This window comes from Homo sapiens, chromosome 7 (assembly GCF_000001405.40).
Source record: "Homo sapiens chromosome 7, GRCh38.p14 Primary Assembly".
In the NCBI taxonomy this organism is placed as follows: Eukaryota; Metazoa; Chordata; class Mammalia; order Primates; family Hominidae; genus Homo; species Homo sapiens.
This window is the reverse complement of record NC_000007.14, coordinates 107107084-107128613: the sequence shown is the minus strand read 5'-3', so window position 1 is coordinate 107128613 and position 21530 is coordinate 107107084. Positions and strand designations below refer to the sequence as shown.

At 39.3% G+C, this 21530-nt stretch overlaps 1 protein-coding gene across 1 annotated transcript in view; it reads right to left on the bottom strand.

Moving 5' to 3' along the window:
* PRKAR2B (protein kinase cAMP-dependent type II regulatory subunit beta) overlaps window positions 1-21530 on the bottom strand; it is a 117107-nt gene that overhangs the window by 33198 nt on the left and 62379 nt on the right. Inside the window, exons 3-4 of the mRNA NM_002736.3 lie at window positions 6610-6662; window positions 319-402 (exon numbers count right to left, since the gene is read on the bottom strand). Coding sequence (NP_002727.2) covers window positions 319-402; window positions 6610-6662 — 137 coding nt within the window. The remainder of the gene's footprint in view (window positions 1-318; window positions 403-6609; window positions 6663-21530) is intronic.

The window sequence follows — 21530 nt, the reverse complement described above, 5'->3', positions numbered from 1 at the left end:
TCTTTTTACCTGTGCCATTTCTCAGGGCTGTTTTTGTAGCCCTGAGATAACATCTTGAGAGATGAGAGAATATCTTCCACAGGACAAACACCTCAGGCTTCTTTACTTCTTGCTCCAACAGCAGTATATTCCCCCAAACTCAATATTCCTCTCCTGCAGTTCAACCTACTGTGCATTCAAGCATCCGCAAGGGGGCCTTTACCATCACCCCAGGGTGATCAGCTTACAAAGAGGGCAAAACTCAAGACCCTGTACAGTTCTTGACACTGTCACTGGGGGAAAAAACAAAGCCATTTCTATTATTAAGATTTATCTTACCGGATCCAGATTCTTAAACAGCAGGATGTCTTTGCAAGCCTCTTGCAACCTATTTCTTTGATCATCAGTTTTTGGATGTATAATCTAAAAGGACATCAGATTTAAAAAACAAAGACATTAGCCAATACCATCTCACTCAAAGAGATTTTAAAAACTAACAAAAATCAGAACCAACATTAGAAAGAAGAACTGTTAGCGCTCAAGTTTGCTTCAGGTTGGTGCTGAGATTCACTTTTGGTGACTGGTAACTTATGAGCCTACCAAGTAGGGGAACATAATTCACCTTGTTCGGGGGAGGTTGGTATCCATTCATCAATATAGCACTGAAATGTTTTTCAAAAGCATATTTTCCCCTAGGTTAGCAAGTTCATTATGCACACAACTGTGACTGGCTAGGAAGATTCCAAAGCTCCCAGCCAGTGGGGACCCGTACAAAAGGACAACAGGTGCCAGCAGCTACACTGAAAATTTGGACTGCTGTCATTCTGTTTCTACTGAGTTTAATACTCTTTCAGGATGTAATTCTTTCTTTTGAATCTTGATAAGGTCCCTGGAAAGAAGTAAAATGTTTAAATGTATATGGCATTAGATGCCGAATATATTTTTACACATGTGGTATGTACCTGCCCCACAGCGAGCAAGTGATTTTTAGAAGGGAGCAAACAATCATGCACTGCCACTCCAAGAGAATATGTGTTCCAGGGAAAAAGAGTCCAAGGAGGCTGGCTGGTGCACTGATTTCAGAAGGAACTCAAGGAAACTAGTGTGCTATATTCTCACTAAACTTGTATTCTAGAGTGTGAAGAGTGGCAGAATGCCGTGTGTGTAAGTGTGGCTTGCTATCTCTCGAGTCCCTTTTCACTAGCAGGAGGCTCAACTGACTTGGACCAAAAGGTCCACTCTTTTGTGAACATGAACAGTTTGTAACTATAAAATGAGTTAGAGGGGCAAGGGGTAGTCCTAAAAGCAGCAGACACGGAGTTGGTTTTCCTGAAGACCTACACACCACCCTTTCCTATTCCAATGCTCACTCAAAGAGTGACCACAAGAGCTGATGGGCAGGTACCTTGCCTCTTCAGGCAGCCTGCCCTACCATCAGAGCATCAGAGCTCACAGAATCAGGCAGCAGTGGAGTTTATAGCCACAAACATCAAAACTCACAATGGGAAATTTAAATCAGCATTTCAAACCACATCAGATGGCTAAAAATTAATGAAAATTATAAGCCTGAAAAGAATTGGGGAAACTTATAGTATTGCTAAACTATTTATATGTAAACTATTGATATATATACCATTTATTTGCATTATGTAAAGACTACATGAAAGAACTACTAGCTAGTAAGAGAAAGGGTCACTGCACTTTCCCCTCTAAGGGTAAGGTAGATGTAAACCTTTGTTTACTATCTGCCCAATATTCATCTCAAACTAGATTCTAAGATGACACACAAACACAGACAAAGTAGATCCCAGGGACTTCTCATTCACTGCTGCATAAGAAACCTTTAAAATTCAGGTATTAACCAAACCACACCAACCAAACTTCACTTCCTCCTACTTCAAATAAGGAAGGCTAACACACTAAAACAAAACAGAAAGTCATTTCTCACTTCACAAAATCCATCTAGAACTTCAAACCAAAGCAACCGAGATGTCTGCCTGCTGAGAAGCTGTTCTCAGAAAGGAAAGGGGGGAGAGGAGAGTGCATCAGGCATCAGTATCGTGCACCTGCTTCGCTCTGGTCAACTTTATGTCTTTCTCTCCAACCCATTCAATTCCTATAAGCCTTCACACAGAAATCCAGCTTTTTCCTCTTCTCTCTTCTTCCTGCTACCTCTCGTACCAATGACGACTTTTTTTTTTTTTTTTTTTTTTTGAGACAGATTCTCACTCTGTTGCCCAGGCTGGAGTGTAGTGGTGCGATCTCAGCTCACTGCAATCTCCGCCTCCCGGGTTCACGCCATTCTCCTGCCTCAGCCTCCTGAGTAGCTGGGACTACAGGTGCCTGCCACCACGCCTGGCTTTGGTTTTTTTTTTTTTTTTTTGTATTTTGTATTTTGTATTTTTAGTAGAGACGGGTTTTCACCATGTTAGCCAGGATGGTCTTGATGTCCTGACCTCGTGATTTGCCCAGTTCAGCCTCCCAAAGTACTGGGATTACAGGCGTGAGCCAGCGCGCCTGGCCTCTTTTTTTTTTTTTTTTTTTTTTAAGACACAGTCTTGCTCTGTCACCCAGGCTAAAGTGCAGTGGTGGTGCACTCGGTTCCCTACAACCTTTGCCTCCTGGGTTCAAGCGACTCTCCTGCCTCAGCCTCCTGAGTAGCTGGGATTACAAGTGCCTGCCACTGTGCCCAGCTAATTTTTGTATTTTTATTAGAGACAGGGTTTCACCATCTTGGCCAGGCTGGTCTCAAACTCCTGACCTCATGATCCACCCGCCTTGGCCTCCCAAACTGCTAAGATTACAGGCATGAGCCGCTGCACCCAGCCCAATCACCATTTCTAAGTAGTATTTTTTTTCTCAGCCCCACCTCCATCACTATGGTCTACTGCTCTCCTCCTGTTTCCCTTTTCCCTCACCCTGCCATTACTCCTCAGCACTCAGAGTCCACTCTCTGTAATTAACCTCGTCGGTAAAATCCCTCTTCACTGGGGAAAGTAAACAGCCAGAAAGCGGGTGTGGTCTCTGACACTCCAGCTCCTCTGTACTGCAGCCACCTGCTCTGAAGATGCTCTCCTACATTTTTCCTCTGGGGCTTAGCATGATCCCACCTAAGGGATCTCTCTCTGGATCACTGAGGCCTCAGCAATACACCCAAAGTGTGATTTTAGTGTACTAGAGGCCACTTTGGTTTTCATTAAAATTCATTCCTGATTTCAGATAAAAATTTTATTTGTTAAACAAACATAGCATAAATACATGCCAGGTACTATTCTAAGGGCTTTACTAATATTAACTCATTTTATCCTAGTGACAGATCCCATGAAGCAGGTTAAGAAATTTAGAGTTAAGGAAATCAACTTGCCCAAATCACTTGTCCAATGTCATCCAGTCCACAAGGTGCAGAGCCAGAATTCATGCCAGCCAGGCCAGCTACAGAGTCTATATTCTAAACCAGGGATCAGCAAACTACACCTGCAGGCAAAGCTGTTTTTGTATGTATGGCCTCTAGGCTAAGAATAATTTTACATTTTTTTAATGACTGGGGGAAAAAAAATCAAACAAATGATAATATTTCCTGACACATAAAATCTATATTAAATTCAAATTCAAGCGTCATAAAGTTTTAATGTAACCCAACAGACATGCCTTTCATTGATGTATTACCTACAGCTGCTTTCAAGCTACTATAGCAGAACTGAGTAGTTGCAAAGGAGACCCCATGACTCCCCAAAGCCTAAAATATTTACTCTCTGAAAATAGTGCATTTTTCAGTTAAAAAAAAATTTACCAAAAAAAGTTTGCCAACTTCTGCTCTAAATTTCTGCTGCCTTTCCATTAAAAAAAAAAAATTAGAAAAACAGTTAACAAGTAAGGTTTTAACTTAGACATTTTCTTTAAAGAACACTGTATATCGGTCAGGCACAGTGGCTCACGCCAGTAATCCTAACAGTTTGGGAGGCCAAGGTGAGTGGATCACTTGAGGCCAGGAGTTCAAGACCAGCCTGGCCAACAGGGCGAAACCCCATCTCTACTAAAAATACAGAAATTAGCCAGGTATGTGGTGGTGCATGCCTGTAGTCCCAGCTACTCGGGAGGCTGAGGCATGAGAATCACTTGACCCAGAGGCTTGGGGGCTGTGTTTTGATTCCTACACTGTTTCACTGTTTCTTTAGCACTTCATGTTTTTTAACTTTTCACTAATTTATTCACTTGTCTGCTTCTGCCACTAGACTGTAAGCTCCAAGAGGGCAGAGACTTGTCCATTTGCTCACCACTTTACACCTAGCACCAGGCCAGATATACAGGTGGAACTCCAAAAAATTTTTGTGGAGAAACATAAGAAATACTCTACCCTTATTAGCTCTTCTCTACCAGTTTCTACATGCTAGATCTAGATAACCCTTACATTTTCATTTATTAAAGGCATTCCAACTAAAATCTGTTATTTTCCAAAATGAGTCTTAAGTATTTACATTTTCTTTGAATTCATATCAGACGATAAATTTCTGTTTATACTACAGACTTACTGATTTGGTGAGTCTCAGAAGTAATACAAAATGTCCAAATGAAATGTAATTTTATCACAATATAGTATACATTTTCCTCATAGATATTTCCCAATATCCTTCTACATCTAAATAATTTTGAAATCTGTAATAATCATTCCCAAGCATGTGGTATGGTTTGCTTCATAGTTGTTGAGACTAAAGTAAGTATAGTTTTTAGTAACACATTTAGAGGAGAGAATACTCAACCTAATTGATAACCTAAAAGTACTTTGCTATAATCAAACATATAATACATTAACAAAAAAACTATTAAATATAACTTTAAAAGGTGTTACAGGGGACAGATCTTAGGGTAAATACACACCCCACAAAGATTCCTCCTCCTCTAGTAACTGCCCTTATTTACAGAAGTGGTTCCCAAGTAGGTTGGACTTTTTGACCCTGGCCCTACCCTGGGCCAAAGCTGGGTCCATCAGAAACTCTTTGGAAATTGGAATTTTGAACTGAGAGACACAGTAATAGAGATGGGTAGCTGAACCCGTTTCAAAGACACTACGCTAAGTCTTACACTCTTGCTCTTGATGGACACCAGAGGCGGGCTGGCTCCTGCCTGCCAGGCCTACAGCTTGGCCTTTGAACGCTTTCTGCAGTTCAATATGATCTCCAAGCATTTGTCTGATAATCTCTCCCCAGTGTTTTCTTTTTCACATTTGTCTCCATAGGGTGAGGTTTTACACAGTCAAATGAATCTTAACTGGTATAGCCTCCCCAACAAAACTATTAGAAATTAGCTGGAGTGAACCTGCCAAAACACTTTATTTACCTCATCAATTAAATGGCAGCTAAAATTCAAGGCCTAACAGCTTTTGAATCAATGAGATACTGCATATTGTTTTTAAACTGTATTGCAAATGTTCATTAATTTAGGTTTTTATTAATTTAAACCAGCTCATCTCGATTGCTCTGATCTCAATTACTAAATTTTATCATACTCATTTATACACAAATATAAAGAAGCATGTTGTCTTCATTGCCACCCGGTATTGTTTCTGCTAGATACATAAAGTATACGGTAGGCAAGGTCTAGTTTTTCAGACTATACAGAGGGGTAACAGCACATCACAGATTAGTAAAAATACCTTAATCCTAAAACAACATCATTTCCAGGCTAGGATTTATAAACTTCATGAAAAGAACTGAAGTTCTAATAGTGAGAAATGAGCTTCCACAACCCTGGTAGTGGGAATCCCCATGGGTCCAGGAATAAAATGAGATTTCAAGATCTTCCACGTTGTAAGCCTCCTGATACCACTGGATTTTACATAAGTTTCAAGGAGCTTAATGATGTAACGACTTAGGGACGTAGTAGCTGCTTCTCCACATGAAACCTCAATCTTACTTATGTACTTTTCAGAGCTACAAAAATAAGTTTTTGTTTATACTGTTTAAGGCCAAAGAAACAAGAGGCACTTTTGCAACACATGTACTCAAAAAAAGGGGGGGAGGGTGACGCAGAAATTACTACTTTCCATTTCCAGGCATAGTCATCTTTTAGTTTACTTTTTACTAAATAAATAGTAGAACTGAGCTGAAAGACATAGCTTAAAAACTGCTGAAATCACAGTGGACAAATTCTTACAAAAACATTAGGGCCTGCAAGAAGTCAGCTGCTGAGCAAACTATGAAGACTCACAGATTTAAAAAATAATCCTAACTGCTGTACTGACACACTGGATGTGATTTTACCGTGATTTGTTTGTTTCAGAGTAACTTTCCGTTGTTATAAATTAATAGGCGTAGAAGGTCTTTCCCAGTATTTTTGTTTACTAGAAACACTGTCTAAGAAAAATAATATTATCACTATGAGAAAGACAGCTGAAAACACTTTTCATCACCAGGATACATTTTGTAAAGAGAAATACTCTCTGGATAAAAATAATTCTGCAAGACTCACAGCAGGAGTAGGCTATTGGAGATGAGACTAGGAAAAGAAACAGTCAAAATAATTCCATTATGTCTCCTGTTAACCTACATGCCTGTTAAATCTTTTCTATGATTATTTTCCTTATATATGACAAGGGCATCAATTTAAAATTCATTCATTCAGTAAATTACATACCCTGGACTCTGCATCATCTTCTTCTTCATCAGGATTATAAGCTTCTGCACATACTATAAAAACAAAAATGAACATCTTAAAGATTGTTTCATCAAAAACCATACTACAATGAGTACATCGTTAACACTTAATGAACAAAAAGAGTACCACGGTATAAAAAACCATTAATTCACCTCAACCAGGAGAAGCAGTCTACCCCCCAAAATTGGTTTCATATTGCAATTTATAATTTACTTAAAAATAAAGCTGTATTTTAGGGCATTGACACTTTCTTTTTTATTTCTCCTATTTAGAGAAACATAGCTTAAACCTTTTCATTTTCATTTCCAAGGCATGATATCTAAACATTACCTAAAGGAACAGAAACAAAAGAAAAGGCTGTCTGCCATGAAATGATGAATTTAATCATATAGTTGTGACTAACTTTCACAAATTATCCATAATCTAAATATTATGGAACAAATATTAACATTTTGCGTACTTCAGCGACAAATATTAACGTTTTGGGTATTTCCTTCCAGTCTTTTTTCTGGGTTGAGTTTACATTGCATATGCAACTTAAAAACCTACTTTTTTCATTTAACACTGTAAGAATTTTGCATGTCATTAGAAACACTGTGTAAAGATTATCATTTAAGGATTGCAGATTATTATATGCCGTAAATAACTATTTCTCTAATACTGAACATTTAGCTGGCTTATATTAAAACAACTTTGCAGTAAACACCTTCATGCATCGATATTTGTCTATATTTCAGATTATGCTGTAAGCATTATTCCCAAAGTTATTTGCAGGGGCTAAATTGTATGACCATTTTTAGGGCACATTTATCACCATGTTTCTTTCTAGAAGGATTGTACCTATCGATTGTCCGACAAAAAATATGTAATAAGACCCCCCTAACTGTACAACAGAATTGGATGCTATTGCTTAAAATCTTTGTCAATTTAAATAAATAATTTAAAATTTTTTAAAAAATTATTAAATAGTTTGAATTTAATAATATTTAAAAAAATTTTAAATTATTTATTTAAATTGACAAAGATTTTAAGCCATAGCAAATGTTTATAGGATGGTTGTATTTCCTCCTTTGTCCTTATCTATAGGAAATATTTGGTTTTCTTTTTGACTTAAATTAGTTTTTTCATACCACTTTATCTGTCATATTACTCACAATCATTTTATCCAATTTGCTTTTCAATTGTAACTACAAAGTTTTTATAGATTATGCATATTTATTTTTAATGTCATGATATCTATGAGGAAAGAAAATTCCCCAATGTGTTTTAAACCCAACATTAAACATCACAGAAGTATCACTGCTTTTGACCTTGAAAACCCTTTCCTTATTTGCAAATCTGAAGATTTACTTCTTTTTCATTCAGTTGTTTAAAGGTAGAGCTTTTTACATGTACTATTTAATCTACATGGAGTTTATTCTGGCATAGATATAAAAATTTAAGGACAAAGAATAAATGAAAGGCTGACGAATGTCTTCCTAGGTCCCTCAGGGTGGCATCAAAAGTAGTATCATCTTTGGTACCACTATTCCCATTATTATTATTATATCATAAAACATTTTCTTTCCCCCAGGCACCACTCTAAACACCTGAACCAGTGACTCTTAACCAAGAGACTCTTAACCAGTGACTCTTAACCAAGTACTAACCAGAGGTGATTCCACCTCTGTGACATTTTAATTGTCACAACTATAGGGGGTTAGAGGGATGCCACTAGCATCTACTGGGTACAGGCCAGGGATGCTGGAAGCATTCTATGATGCACCGAACACCCCGCCCTGAACAGAAAGAATTACCTGGCCCAAAATGTCAACAGTACCGAGGCTGAGAAACCCTGATCTAAAGTACATCATCTCATTCAACCTCACAACAACCTTAAGGTAGGTGTTAATGTCATCACTTGACAGATGAAAGACTAGGGCACAGGAAAGCCAAGATCATACATACATCCTAGTAAGTGACAGGACCCACGTTTTATCCAGGATTGTGTGTCTTGACTCCAAAGCTCTTGCTCTTAACCACTATTCTACACATGACTGCTTTGGTGAATTTACCCGCGTAATTCCTGGACTTCAGCCTTCAGTCTCAGAAACGTAACAGGAATGGACCAGTCATGCAGAAGCAGGCTCACATTAAAGAACCTCACTGACATATGAAACCAGATTGCCAATTTAGTAACTACCTTCCTGAATGAAGGATGGGACCAGCACAACTAGCTAGATCTCTCCCTGCTGGAAAACCAAAGAAGCAGCCAAGTCACTATTGAAAGATTGCTTGGTGAGCAGGAAATGGGAAGTAGGAAACTTTGTTAAATAAATTGAATGTTTCAGGGAATCAGGCTGGATAGCCTGAGGCACTCAATAGGGATGGCCCTGCCAATGTGTCTGGGACACTTTAACTGGGTTGGCTGCGACTCTCCAGAGAACACAAGGATATCTACTTCTAAAGCTTGGCTCTCTAACTTTCTGTCCCCAGAGATGGCCAACTTCATAGGCAGGAATGCTACATAATTTGTATGGCCCAGTGCAAAAACAAAACAAAACAAAACGAAACAAAAACCACCATATATGGGCCCCATCTTCAAAAATTAAGACTTTCCAAAGGACAACAAGAGCAGAGCATTAAACCAAATGCACGGCCCTCGTGAGTGCAGGGCCCATGAAGCTGGCCATGTTCACAGGATTGACACATTCAACGAGGTGGTGCAGTAGGCAGTAGGCAGTAGGCAAGATATTTGGTTAAGATTAACTTGTTTTACACATACACACACCCCCACCCTCTGATCCATTACTGTTGATCTTAAATTTTAATTCACAGAAATCAATCCTAATTCTCAAATTTCTAAGTGCCTAGCCCCTAAGTCCTAATTAAAAATCATCTGGAGTAAGAATCTACTATTTTTCCAAAGAGTTTATCAATTGTCTCAATATTATTACTTAACACCCTGTTGATTTGTGATACCCACTTTATCACATAGTGTGTTTGTCTGTTTCTGGGCTGTTTCACTGAACTATACATTGTGCCAGTACTACAAGGACTTAGTTCTTGGCATTCCTGTTGCAATTGTTTCACTACATTAGAATTCATCTACCCCCACCTTCTGCAGCCAAATCAAAATAAAGTATTTGCAGTTCTGTAAAGCTGTCATCGTGCCTTATAAAGCTCCTTATCAACACTTAAACTGTTTCTTCTGATTGAACTCCCTCCAATCTCCTTTCCAAGCCAACCCTTCTCTCCAGCCTCAACTAAAAAGTCAGATGGAGAGTCACATCTTGACCTTTCACCCACACAGAACTAATTCTGGAAACTCCACTTCTGTGCTCATCCTTTGCACTCTCGCAATACAGTGGGACGAGCTCATTATTGTCATTTACCACACTGCATGCTTCCAAAGATGTTACAAGCTGTTTGCCTCTCCAGGCTGAGACGCAGCCCTCCAGGAACCGACTGTGTGCTCTTGTTCATCTCTGTATTTCCCTAGCACTGACTTGGCACATTGCCTACTAGCTCAATGCTTTTTTTTTTTTTAAATAAATGACTGGTTGATGAACAAACAAGCTTGCAAGGTCCTTGAGGGCAGAGATGTCTTTTTTAAATATCTCACAATAATGTACTTGTATTATACACACTCAAACACACATTGAATGAATGAATGAATGAATGAATGAATGAAAACTTGCTCAATGTTAAAATGTCCTACACAATTTGTCCAAGAAATGGGGACAGAGAGGATGAGTGAAAATGAGAGCCTTTTGTCTTACTCACCAAAATTCCTGGCACAAAGATTAGGAGGTCAGTAAATATTTCTGTAACAAATAAATGAATGAATGGCTCTATCTCTGGATGGGCACTCAAACCAAAGCCTCCAGATAACCTGTACTCCCTTGTGTTCTTTCTGAAACATATTTGCCCCATGCCTCCTACGCAATCTGAAATTTAGCTTGAAACTATATACTTCATCCTTTTTGTTTGGCAATTCAACAGTGGTGAGAACCAGAATCTTATTCTTTAAGTGAATCTTATATTGAGGTTTCCCTGTTTTGTTGTGCATATATGTATATACTACACTGGTTATACAGAATGGCCCAAGAATTTAAGCAGATTCCCACATTGCAGATAGAGTAATGTGCACTGGTGTAGCCAGACAATGGTCACAACTTGCAGGACAGAACAGGAAAATACCAACTATACTGACTTCGCATATTGTGGGACTTGGCCCTCAACCTTTTCATGTGCTATACATAAAGAATGATAGATGAGGGATTATTCAACTTCCAGGATTTTTCACTAAAAGCCCACAACATTTTGTTGTTGATGTTTTAAAAATCAGTATGGTCAAAACGACTCTGCACTAGACAAGTATACATGACCCATATTCGCATCCTGGCTAGCAAGGAGTTAAAGGAAGCAGACTGAACTCCACGATTCACTGGGTCCTCAGCTCTGGCAGAGTCTTGCACACTCTAGACGCTCAGTAAGTATATGCTGAAGGAATAAAAGGCAAATACAGTTTGCACAGAATGCGTGGTTTAGAGGCCTTCAATCTAGAAAAATTGACTTCCATAAAATATATAAAAGTTAATTTGCCAATGTTCTCAATAAACTAAGATTTTAGCATACTTATTTAAATAATAATTAGCTTAAAATAAAGCTGTTACAAAAGCACAGGTGTATTAAATAACAGAGTTGTGACTCAGTAGAGTTAAACTTAGCTTATTGAAGGGGAAACGCCCTCCTACAAAGGAAAAAAAAATTACCTTTTTCAAATATTAGTTGAAGGCATGCATCAACCAAGAAAACTCGTTCTTAGGGGGCAAAAAGACTTACTGTATTTTTTTATAAAGCACAGATATACGTTCAATACATAAACAGATATACGGTATTTCTGTGGCAGTAAAATCTCATTGGGGGCATTTAGGGGGCAACAGTCCAAAAAGACTGGGGGTAGGGGATGATAATGGAAAAAAGATTGAGAAACACTGGTAAAAGGGTATAACAATTATATATATACACATATATATATATATACACACACACACACATATATATACACACATACATATACACATATATATACACACACACACATATATATATATGTGTGTATATATATATATGTATATATATAGCTAAGTAAAGGGAAGAGGCACAATGACAAGTTAATAGGCTTCCCCCGCCCCTGTTCATTCACATTTCTGCCCAGGTAATTTGGTATAGACCTGTTCTCATCCATTAGTAATGCTCTTAAATTTGAATTCACAGAGCAAAGGCATTGGAAGAACATGCCCAAAATATAGAAGTTCACATTTTGTTCCCAAATCACATTTGCCTAAAAGACCCACAGGAAGCCTTATTTATTCATTCAAAAAATATTTTTTTGAAATGTGGGGGATGACATAAAGGGAATAAAGGGATAATGCAAAGCATCTATGTGTATGTATACATATTCTTCTGTTATACATTTTATATAATGTGTAACTTGTTTTGCCTACACATTTTATATTACTTTCAATATTATATATGTACTATATTTAAAACATTTATAGAAACAGTCTAGAAATCAAGACAGAAATAGAATGATCATGATAACATCAGTGCCACAATGACGATATCTACAAAGTGCCGGAGGAACACAGACGAGAAAGGAGCAACCGGTAGCTCAGAGGGCAGGGAAAGGCTTCACAGCAAAGGAGGTTCCCTAAAGAATTAACAAAGAGTGGGAAGAAGAGATTGCTTTGTTTTGTTCCCTCTATTTTCCTAGCACCTAGAACAGTGACTGGCACACAGTAAATGTTAACAAAAATGACCGAAGAAATAAATGGTCACTTTAGTCGGTGAGAAACGTTATTATCTTCTTCCTTAACCTTAGGCATAAAGAAATTGCATACTGCATATGTCAGATTAGACTGGCTTACACAACAGTTACAAACACTGCCATAATCTCAGTGACTCAAAATAACATGAGTGTATTTCTTGGTCACATAATATGTCCACCTCAGGAGAGTGAGTACTTGGTTCCACTTCCTTACTGAAGGCTGCAGGCTAATGGAGCCTCTGCAATTTGGAAGGCCACCAGTCCCTAAAGCTTCTGCCTAGAAGTGACAGATGTCTCTTCTGCCAATAAGGAATATATATCACATTGCATTAGACAAGTTATATGGTCAGTCCTAACTTCAGCAAGATGGGGAAGTGCAAGTGTTACTACAACCTCAGAAGGCAAGAAAACCAGAATTTTGTGAATACCACTGATGACTATCAAAAAAACCATTTGATGGCCCCAACACAAGGTGTTTCTCTCTCTCTTATTCTCTCTCTCCCTCTCTCTTTCTCTGGCTTAAGGCAAATGGAGGAAAGGCTGAAACTGACATCACCATTTACATAAAAATAGGTGGGAAGTTCATAATTTAAAAGTCTACAGAATAAGGCTGTCTCATAAACTCTGAACAGAACCATTACAATTTCCTTAAAACCACCTTTCAATTTTTAATATTTTCCTACTTCCTGCATCAAAATATTAAGTTACTATAATCCACTCGGTTACAGGCTACATTTCAGCTATAAAAAACGCAATATAAATATATCTTTTACCTTTCTGGCAGAAATTCTGGCACTGTTCATGAAATAGTACTTAAGTGAATATTTAATTCCCAGACCAGCGATGTTCATGTCAGCAAAATTTTACTATAAAGATTTTAGCCAAGATACTTAACTGTATAACCCTGTCTTGATGAAATAACAGAAACACAATTTCTATTTAATCTAGGATGTTCTGCCTCTCCCCAAGGTTATCAATGGAGCTTTAAGAATTAGCCATTCACAAACCACTTTCTAGTTCTCTATAAAACTGTATTTTTTACCTTTATTTAGGTAGGTTCTAAACCATCCCAGACATGTAATTACTATTCCTAAAAAATTTCTGTAAAATTTTTTTCCTATTACTTCTACTATAAAATATTCTGCTGTCTCATAAACATTTTAGATATTTTAAATATTTGACTAAATTGCCATGATTCATTATAAGCCCATTATTTTTTGTAGCCCTTTAACAGCAGTATTTAGAATAAAACTCCAAATTTACTAATTCCTTTTTATGTTTTTATGTTTCTAAAAAGATTTTCCTTTACATGTATACCACTACTCTTTAAGGGACTGTATAATTAATTAACATTCACACCCCACAAGTAAACATCAAGTTCAGGACACTATTGGGAAGGGTATTGCTGAAATACATAAATAAGCAGCAATTGAGACCTTCAAACAAATAAAAATTTGCTCTTCATTTGGTATTTTCCTCTTATTAAAACTGTACATGCTGGCCAGGCATGGTGGCTCACGTCAGTAATCCCAGCACTTTAGGAGGCCAAGGCAGGTGTATCACCTAAAGTCAGGAGTTCAAGACCAGCCTGGCCAATATGGCGAAATGCCCTCTCCAAGAAAAAAAAAAAAAAAAAAAAATTAACCGGGCATGGTGGTGCGTGCCTGTAATCCCAGCTACTTAGGAGGCTAAGGCACAAGAATCACTTGAACCCAGGAAGCGGAGGTTGCAGTGAGCCGAGATGGTGCCACTGCACTCCAGCCTGGGCAACAGAGCAAGACTTAGTCTCAAACACACACACACACACACACACACACACACACACACACACACACACACACACAGCTGTACATGCCAAACTCTTTAATCTGGTTTTTGTAATGTGTAATTTTTTTTTCTTCAAAAATGCCTCCAAAGGAAAAACAATACCCTATGTCAGAACCCACATACGTTTTGTAAATAATTTTTTATTCTACTCTTGGGTTCCAAAGAGTTAAAAACTTAAGTATGTGTACTCAATCACTGGAACTAACCTCAATAAAGTATCTTTCTACAACATGCTCTACAAGTATGCATTCAGTCTATAAAACATCAACCATTTCTTTTAATAACTGACTTATTTATAGCATGGCACAATTAAGAGGACAGAGCATTCAATCGGTTTATCAAAGGAATCCTATCAACAAAGAACGTTTCTAAGAGGATGAGTCCAGAACAGGATAGGCTCAAATATTCTACTTAATTCTACTGTTCATACATCATGAGTAGCCCGTGCGATTCTGACAATAGAGGAAACACCATACAAACCTTCACTCTTTCACAATGGAACAGTGGTCCCCTCTAGCTCCCAGTGTTCCTTAGATAAAGATACAAGACTAACCCAAGAAAAGACAGGTGCATGTAATCCACGGTATTTTACAAATTCTCTATTTAAAGTAAATTTTCTTTAAGACAAAAAATAAAACCTCACAAATGACTAAGAATAAGATAAACAGATATAATAAAAAGAGCGAGAAGAATAATTCGGAGGATAATATGTTTGGGAAACTATCCATTTTTTAAAGTCAATGTTGTTTGCGACTAATCATCAGAATTCCTCAATGCTGTTCTCTAGAACTATCAAGCAGCAGAGAGTAAGTGGATCAACTTGTACTAGAGGACAGAACTGTAATAGAAACTATATTTGTACTTTGCTGAAAATGGTCTGGTAAGGATTTCTAAGCATTGCAGTTGATGAACATTATGAATTTTAAGAAATTAAAATGCCAAGGTGAAATAAAAACAGAATCCTAACACTTTGGTTAAAAAGTCAACAGCTTCCCAAGAATTTGTGCCAATGCTCTAATTGTTTAGATAATACGATCATCTCTTGGCATTTATTTTGGCCTGAGACCTTGAATCACATTCATCTAAATATAAATACTAACTGATAATGAATGATATAGCTACATTTACCAGAATACAATTTTGTCTTTCAGATATAGTAAAGCTAAAGTTACTTAAAGCTTCTGAGTAGTTTTATTTACTGTTTTTGAGATGAATGCTGCCTAGCATACACGTATCAGAGAATTATAGGAACAGAAATATTACGGAATCCTTCCCAATTTATTAATATATTTTCAGAACAAGTATCATTTGACCTGATGGCTTTAGGATGAGCAATTTGAACTAAAATATAGCCATAATTATAAGAAAATAGTTTAATTACTGGCTTCTAAATTTAGTAATAAAACTATCAAATATGGGCTTTAGGGGAACATATTTCAATCAAGCCTCTCTACTGATTATCAGAAGTCTAAAAAAATTATTGATGCTATTAAATATAAGCAAATTGTGATACAGCAATGCAAATCAATATCCAAAGATTCAAAATATAGAACACATATTTACAAAACAATACAATTCAGACTGGTTTTTTTCATTAATTAAAGGCAAAAGAAATAAATCCATGTAAAAAACGTAATAAGCATTTCTTCTTGAAAAGTTCCATTTCCATTTTGTAAAGGGGAACTCATCAGCCTTTTTTTCACGCGTTATTTTCTGTGAGTTCAAACTACACATTTGTCTTATAAAGTCTGCTTTAAAAAAATAAAAATAAGATTTGGTAAACATTTTCCTATATTATTAGGTACTCCTGTAAAACAATTTTTAAGTGGCTGCATAGGAATCAGTAATAATATATGGATATTTATTTTAATTTGTGTTTTTTTGTTGGAAATTTAGATTTCTTCTTTTTTAACTTTCATTTCTTCAGATCAAGACTTAAATCAAGATTTGTGAGATGATAAATGATAAATTTAAATGAACCTTTAAATTAAAAAGAAAAATGATGTGATATAAAGACAATAACAGACAAGAAATATAAACTAATAATTAAGCATTTTAAGTCTATTAAATTAGCAAACTTACTTGTTTCTTGATAAAAGTCAGTATTAATTAGAGAGGATGCCTAGTTTGGTTTTTGGTTCTTTTTTTTTTTTTTTTTTTTTTTTTTAGAGACACAGTCTTGCTCTGTCACCCAGGGTGGAGTGCAATGGTGCAATCATAGCTCACTGCAGCCTCAAACTCCTGGGCTCAGGCTGTCCTCCTGCCTTAGCCTCCCAAGTAACTAGGACTACAGGAGCACACGACTGTTCCTGGCTTTTTTTTTTTTTTTTTTTTTTTTGGTAGAGGAGGCTCTTGCTATATTGCTTAGGCTGGTCATGAATTCCTCGGCTCAAGCAATCCTCCTGCCTTGACCTCCAAACATGCTACGATTACTGGCATGAGCCACCTCACCTGGCCAGGATGCAGAGTTTAGAATAGACTTTTTTACATACTACTGGTGAAATTCTAAATTGGGGGTGGAAGTGGGAACAGAGGGGTCAGTTTAGAAATGTTATTAAAAGTCTTGAAATTCTTCATGCCCAATTCCGTAAGTGCTCATCAAGTAATTTGATCTGAATAAATGACAGTTTAAAAAGAGATATCTAAATTCCCAACAAAAAAATTAAAATAAATATTCATATATACTACTGATATCTATGTAGTCATTTAAAAATTATGTTTTAGATAAGATCTGGAAGAACTATCTGGATTACCAGGCAGAGACTCTTGTTCTCTTCCCCTATTTTCTCCCAAACAAACACAGAGACTCTCTCTGTGTTTTGAGCTGCCTGGAGATGTGACCACCACCACTGGGACTGCACTTGGTCAGACCAGAAGCTGGCACTGGGATCTCACCCAAGGCCTGCTGTGACTACCACCTGGCTATGGCCTATGTTCACTCAAGGCCCTGGGGCTCTACAATCAGCAGGAAGTGAAGTCAGCCAGGCTTGTGTCCTTCCCTTCATGGTGGCGAGCTCCCAAGCCCCAGGCAGATCCAGAGGTGCCATCAGCAAGCCAGGGACTACAGTCAAAAATCTTAGAAGTCTACTTGGTGTTCTACTGTACTGTGGCTGAGCTGGCACTGAGACAGTCCTTCCCACTCTTCTCTCCCCTTTCCTTAAGCAGAGGAACCTCACCCTGTGGCCACCACCACTATAGACCTATGGGGCGTACTGCCAGGCTACTGCTGATGTTCCCTTAGGGAGGGCTCTTCAGTCGCTTATGATGAAGGGTGCCTAGCGTGGGATGCTCCCTTTGGGCAGTGGGCTCCCCTCTGGCCTAGGGCAAGTCCAGAAAAGTCATCAATGAGTCAAGTCCTAGAATTGGGGACCCCAAAAGCCCACTTAGTCCTCTACCCCTCTGTGGCTGAGCTAGTACCTAAGGTGCAAGATCCAGTCCCCTTTACTTTTCCCTCTGCTTTTCGCAAGCAAAAGGAAGTCTCTCCCTGTAGCCACCACAGCTGGTAATGTGTAAAGTCTCACCTGAAGCCAGCAAGTCTCAAAGACTCACCCAAGGTCCACAGTGTACTACCTGAGTATTGCTGCTGGTTATTCAGGGCCCAAAGCTCTTTAGTCTGCAGGTGATGGGTCCTGCCAGTACTGGGTCCTTCCCTTCAAGGCAGTAGGTTCCCTTCTGGCCCTGGGTATGTCTAGAAGTATCGTCCAGGAATGAGGGCCTGGGAAGAGGGCCTCGTGGCTCTAACGGGTACCACCCTACCCTACTGTGGCTGAGCTGGCATCAAAGATGCAAGACAAAGTCCTCTTTACTTTTCCCTCTCCTCTCTTCAAGCAGAAGAAAAGGGTCTCAATTGGAGCTGCAAGCTATGAAGCCTGGGGTTGTGGAAAGGGTGATGCCAGCATTCCCTTAGCCATCCCAGTGTCTCAGTAACTCGCGTGCCTCTCCAGTCCAATGGCTCTGAGCCCACATCAGCACTAGGATTTGCCTAGGAGTTCAAGTCTTTGTGGCCTAGACTGTTTTTCAAGTTTATTTACGGCCCCAGAGCACTTTAGCCCAAGGTGGTGAGGCTTGCCGGAACTTTCCAACTGTTGGGATGGGCAATTCTCCTCTAGCTAGGGCTGGTTTAAATATTCCTTCTGTGGGCAGGCATCAGCTGAGTTAGTTTGCTTTTGCTTCTTGCTGTGACAGGGCATTACTGAGTGCGATATAATGTCTCACAACTGCTACACTCTCTCTGTCTCCCAAGCACATGGATTATCTCTCTGCACCATGCGGCCACTGCTGGAGGATGGTGGAGGGGTGGTGCTGGTAACCCAAGACTGTCTCCTACCCTCCTCAGTGGCCATTTCAGTTCTATAGAGTTAAAACAGGTACTGTGAGTGCTCACCTGATTTTGGTTCTTATGAAGGTGTTTCTTTTGGATAGTTGTTCAATAATGTCCTTCCGTGGGGTGGGGGAGGAACAACTGGTTGAGGCTTCTATTCAGTCATCTTGCTCTGCCCCTCCTAAAAATTATGTTTTACAGGAGTATCTAATGACATTGGAAATTGTTCACCAACTTTTACTATTTTTTTTAAGAGAGTTTCAATATAGATGCATAGTTTGAACCTACAGAAAATATCCATGAAAAAATTCTGGTAGGATAGACACCAAAGTTTGTATGGTAGCTATTCCTCGGTAGTATGATTATGATATTCTTATTTTTCTATTTCTTCACCTTGCTAGTAAGATAGGAGATTAACAGGGCTTGTTTTCATGACACTGCTGATCAAAACAGAATGTAGGCCAAGCACAGTGGCTCATGTCTGTAGTTCCACAATTTAGGAGGCTGAGGTGGAAGGACTGCTTGAGTCCAGGTGTTTGAGACCAGTCTAGGCAACATAGTGAGACCTCATCTCTTAAAAAAAAAAAAAAAAAATTAGCTGAGTGTGGTGGTGCCTGCCTGTAGTCCCAGCTACTTGGGAGCCTGAGGTGGGAAGACTGCTTGAGCCCAGGAGGTCAAGGCTGCAGTGAGCCAAGATCATGTCACTGCACACCAGCCTGGGCAACAAAGTGAAAACCTGTCTCTTAAAAAAACAAAATGAAAACAAAAACAAAAACTATGATGTAGTAAAGAGACCAGCCCAAACCAGCTAGGACTAGGAATTATAGTTCATTTGCATAAGACATTCCCACCAGCACCACAACAGTTTACAAATGATGCCACAGCAATGACCTGGAGGTTACCTTACATGGTTCTGGGAACTCCTCACCCCTTTTCTAGAAAGTTCATGAATAACTCACCCCTTATTTAGCATGTAATTAAAAGTGGGTATAAATATAGCTAGCCAGCAATCCACAAGGGCTGCTATGAGCCACTCTGCCCACTCTGCTCTGGGATAGCTCTGCTCTGTCTATGGAGCAGTCATTTGGCTGGACACTGTTGCTGTAAGAACTTGCTTTTCTTGAATTGTTTCCTGAGCAAAGCCAAGAACTCTCCCAGGGTGAGCCCCAATTCTGGGGTTCACTTGTATCAGCCTGGCAACCATGAAGGAATAAACAACACTGAACAAGATGAACATGACAAAGGGGCTCAGTAAAAATTGGGGCTCTGGAGCTATAACACTATGGAGCTCTAACTCTATAAGGCTGTAGAGCTGTACAGGAGCCAAAGGCTCTTTTTAGAGCCAATCATCATTCCTGGTGACTAATAATCTAAGCAAAACTGAGGGAAACCTTCACCCAGATGCCAATTTAAGACCAATCAACACCATATGGCTTCGAAGGACAGGTGAGTCTCCCCTCTGTTCCCCCTTGACATTGATCTTTTTGGGTGAACCAAGAAGAGGGAACAAGGCCTCTGGCTTGGTAGTTCATTATCCCCTATCATTTGGGTGTCCCAGACAGGAGCACGCCTGCCATGTCCTTGTCACGCTTTCTCTCAAATCTTTTTGTCTCTTTAGTCTCTAATAAATGGCTGTTTTATTCTAATGCTTATTTTGTTTTCTTTCACATCTGTTGTCTTTGCTTTGGCTATCTGAGCAACTGTTTCTATTCTATGTAAGTCGGGACACTTTCCTAGTCTGTTTTGAATCCTCTTTTGGTAATTTTCAGAAGTCCTCTGTTGTGCTAACTTTGGGATGCCAGAGTCACGTTGTCCAGTGGCCCCAACTGTGTTAGGTCTCGTGCCTTTGGGGTTCATGATGGGCCAACTCCTGGATGCTCTGGGTTTTTTGGCATTTCATGTTCCAGGTTTTTCAGCATTTGGCACCCTGTTAGGGTTGTTGGTCTTTGTCATACTGATCATTTTCAGCCTCCTCTTTCTGTGCTTTTTTTGGAATTCAGACTATGAGAATCCTGTCACCCTACTTTACCTATCCTTCTACACTTTGCTTATTAAAACATCTCTTGGCCGGGCACAGCATCTCACGCCTGTAATCCCAACACTTTGGGAGGCCAAGGCAGGCAGATCCCGAGGTCAAGAGATGGAGACCATCCTGGCCAACGTGGTAAAACCCCGTCTCTACTAAGAATACAAAAATTAGCTGGGCATGGTGGCGCGCACCTATAGTCCCAGCTACTCAGGAGGCTGAGGCCGGAGAATTGCTTGAACCCAGGAGGCAGAGGCTACAGTGAGCCAAGATCGCACCACTGCACTCCAGCCTGGTGACAGAGCGAGACTCTGTCTTAAAAAAAACACCTCTTTTGTCATATTCTGCTTGCTGCTGGATAGAGTGATCACTTCACTACCCATTCATACCTCATAATTGAGTTTCTTCACACCCTAACTGTACTTAGGCTCTCAGGAATTGATGGCATTTGTACTACTGTCTAGCAGAGATCCCTGTTAGGGGGACAACGGGAAGCATCCCAGAGGACTCATTGCTAGGGTGCTTTTTAGGCAACTGAAGCAAAGTCAAATTAAATCGCTTAAAAAGAAACTAATTTTCTTTAGTTTAGCAACACCACTTGGGTCCAATACAAATTGGGAAACCAAGAAATTTGGCCTAAAAATGGCTTTTTTTTTTTGAGATGGAGTCTCACTCTGTCGCCCAGGCTGGAGCGCAATGGCGCCATGTCGGCTCACTACAACCTCCACCTCCCAGGTTCAAGTGATTCTCCTGCCTCAGCCTCCCGAGTAGCTGGGATTACAGGTGCCCACCACCATGCCTGGCTAATTTTTGTATGTTTAGTAGAGACGGGGTTTCACCATGTTGGCCAGGCTGGTCTCGAACTCCTGACCTCAGGTGATCCACCCACCTCGGCCTCCCAAAATGATGGG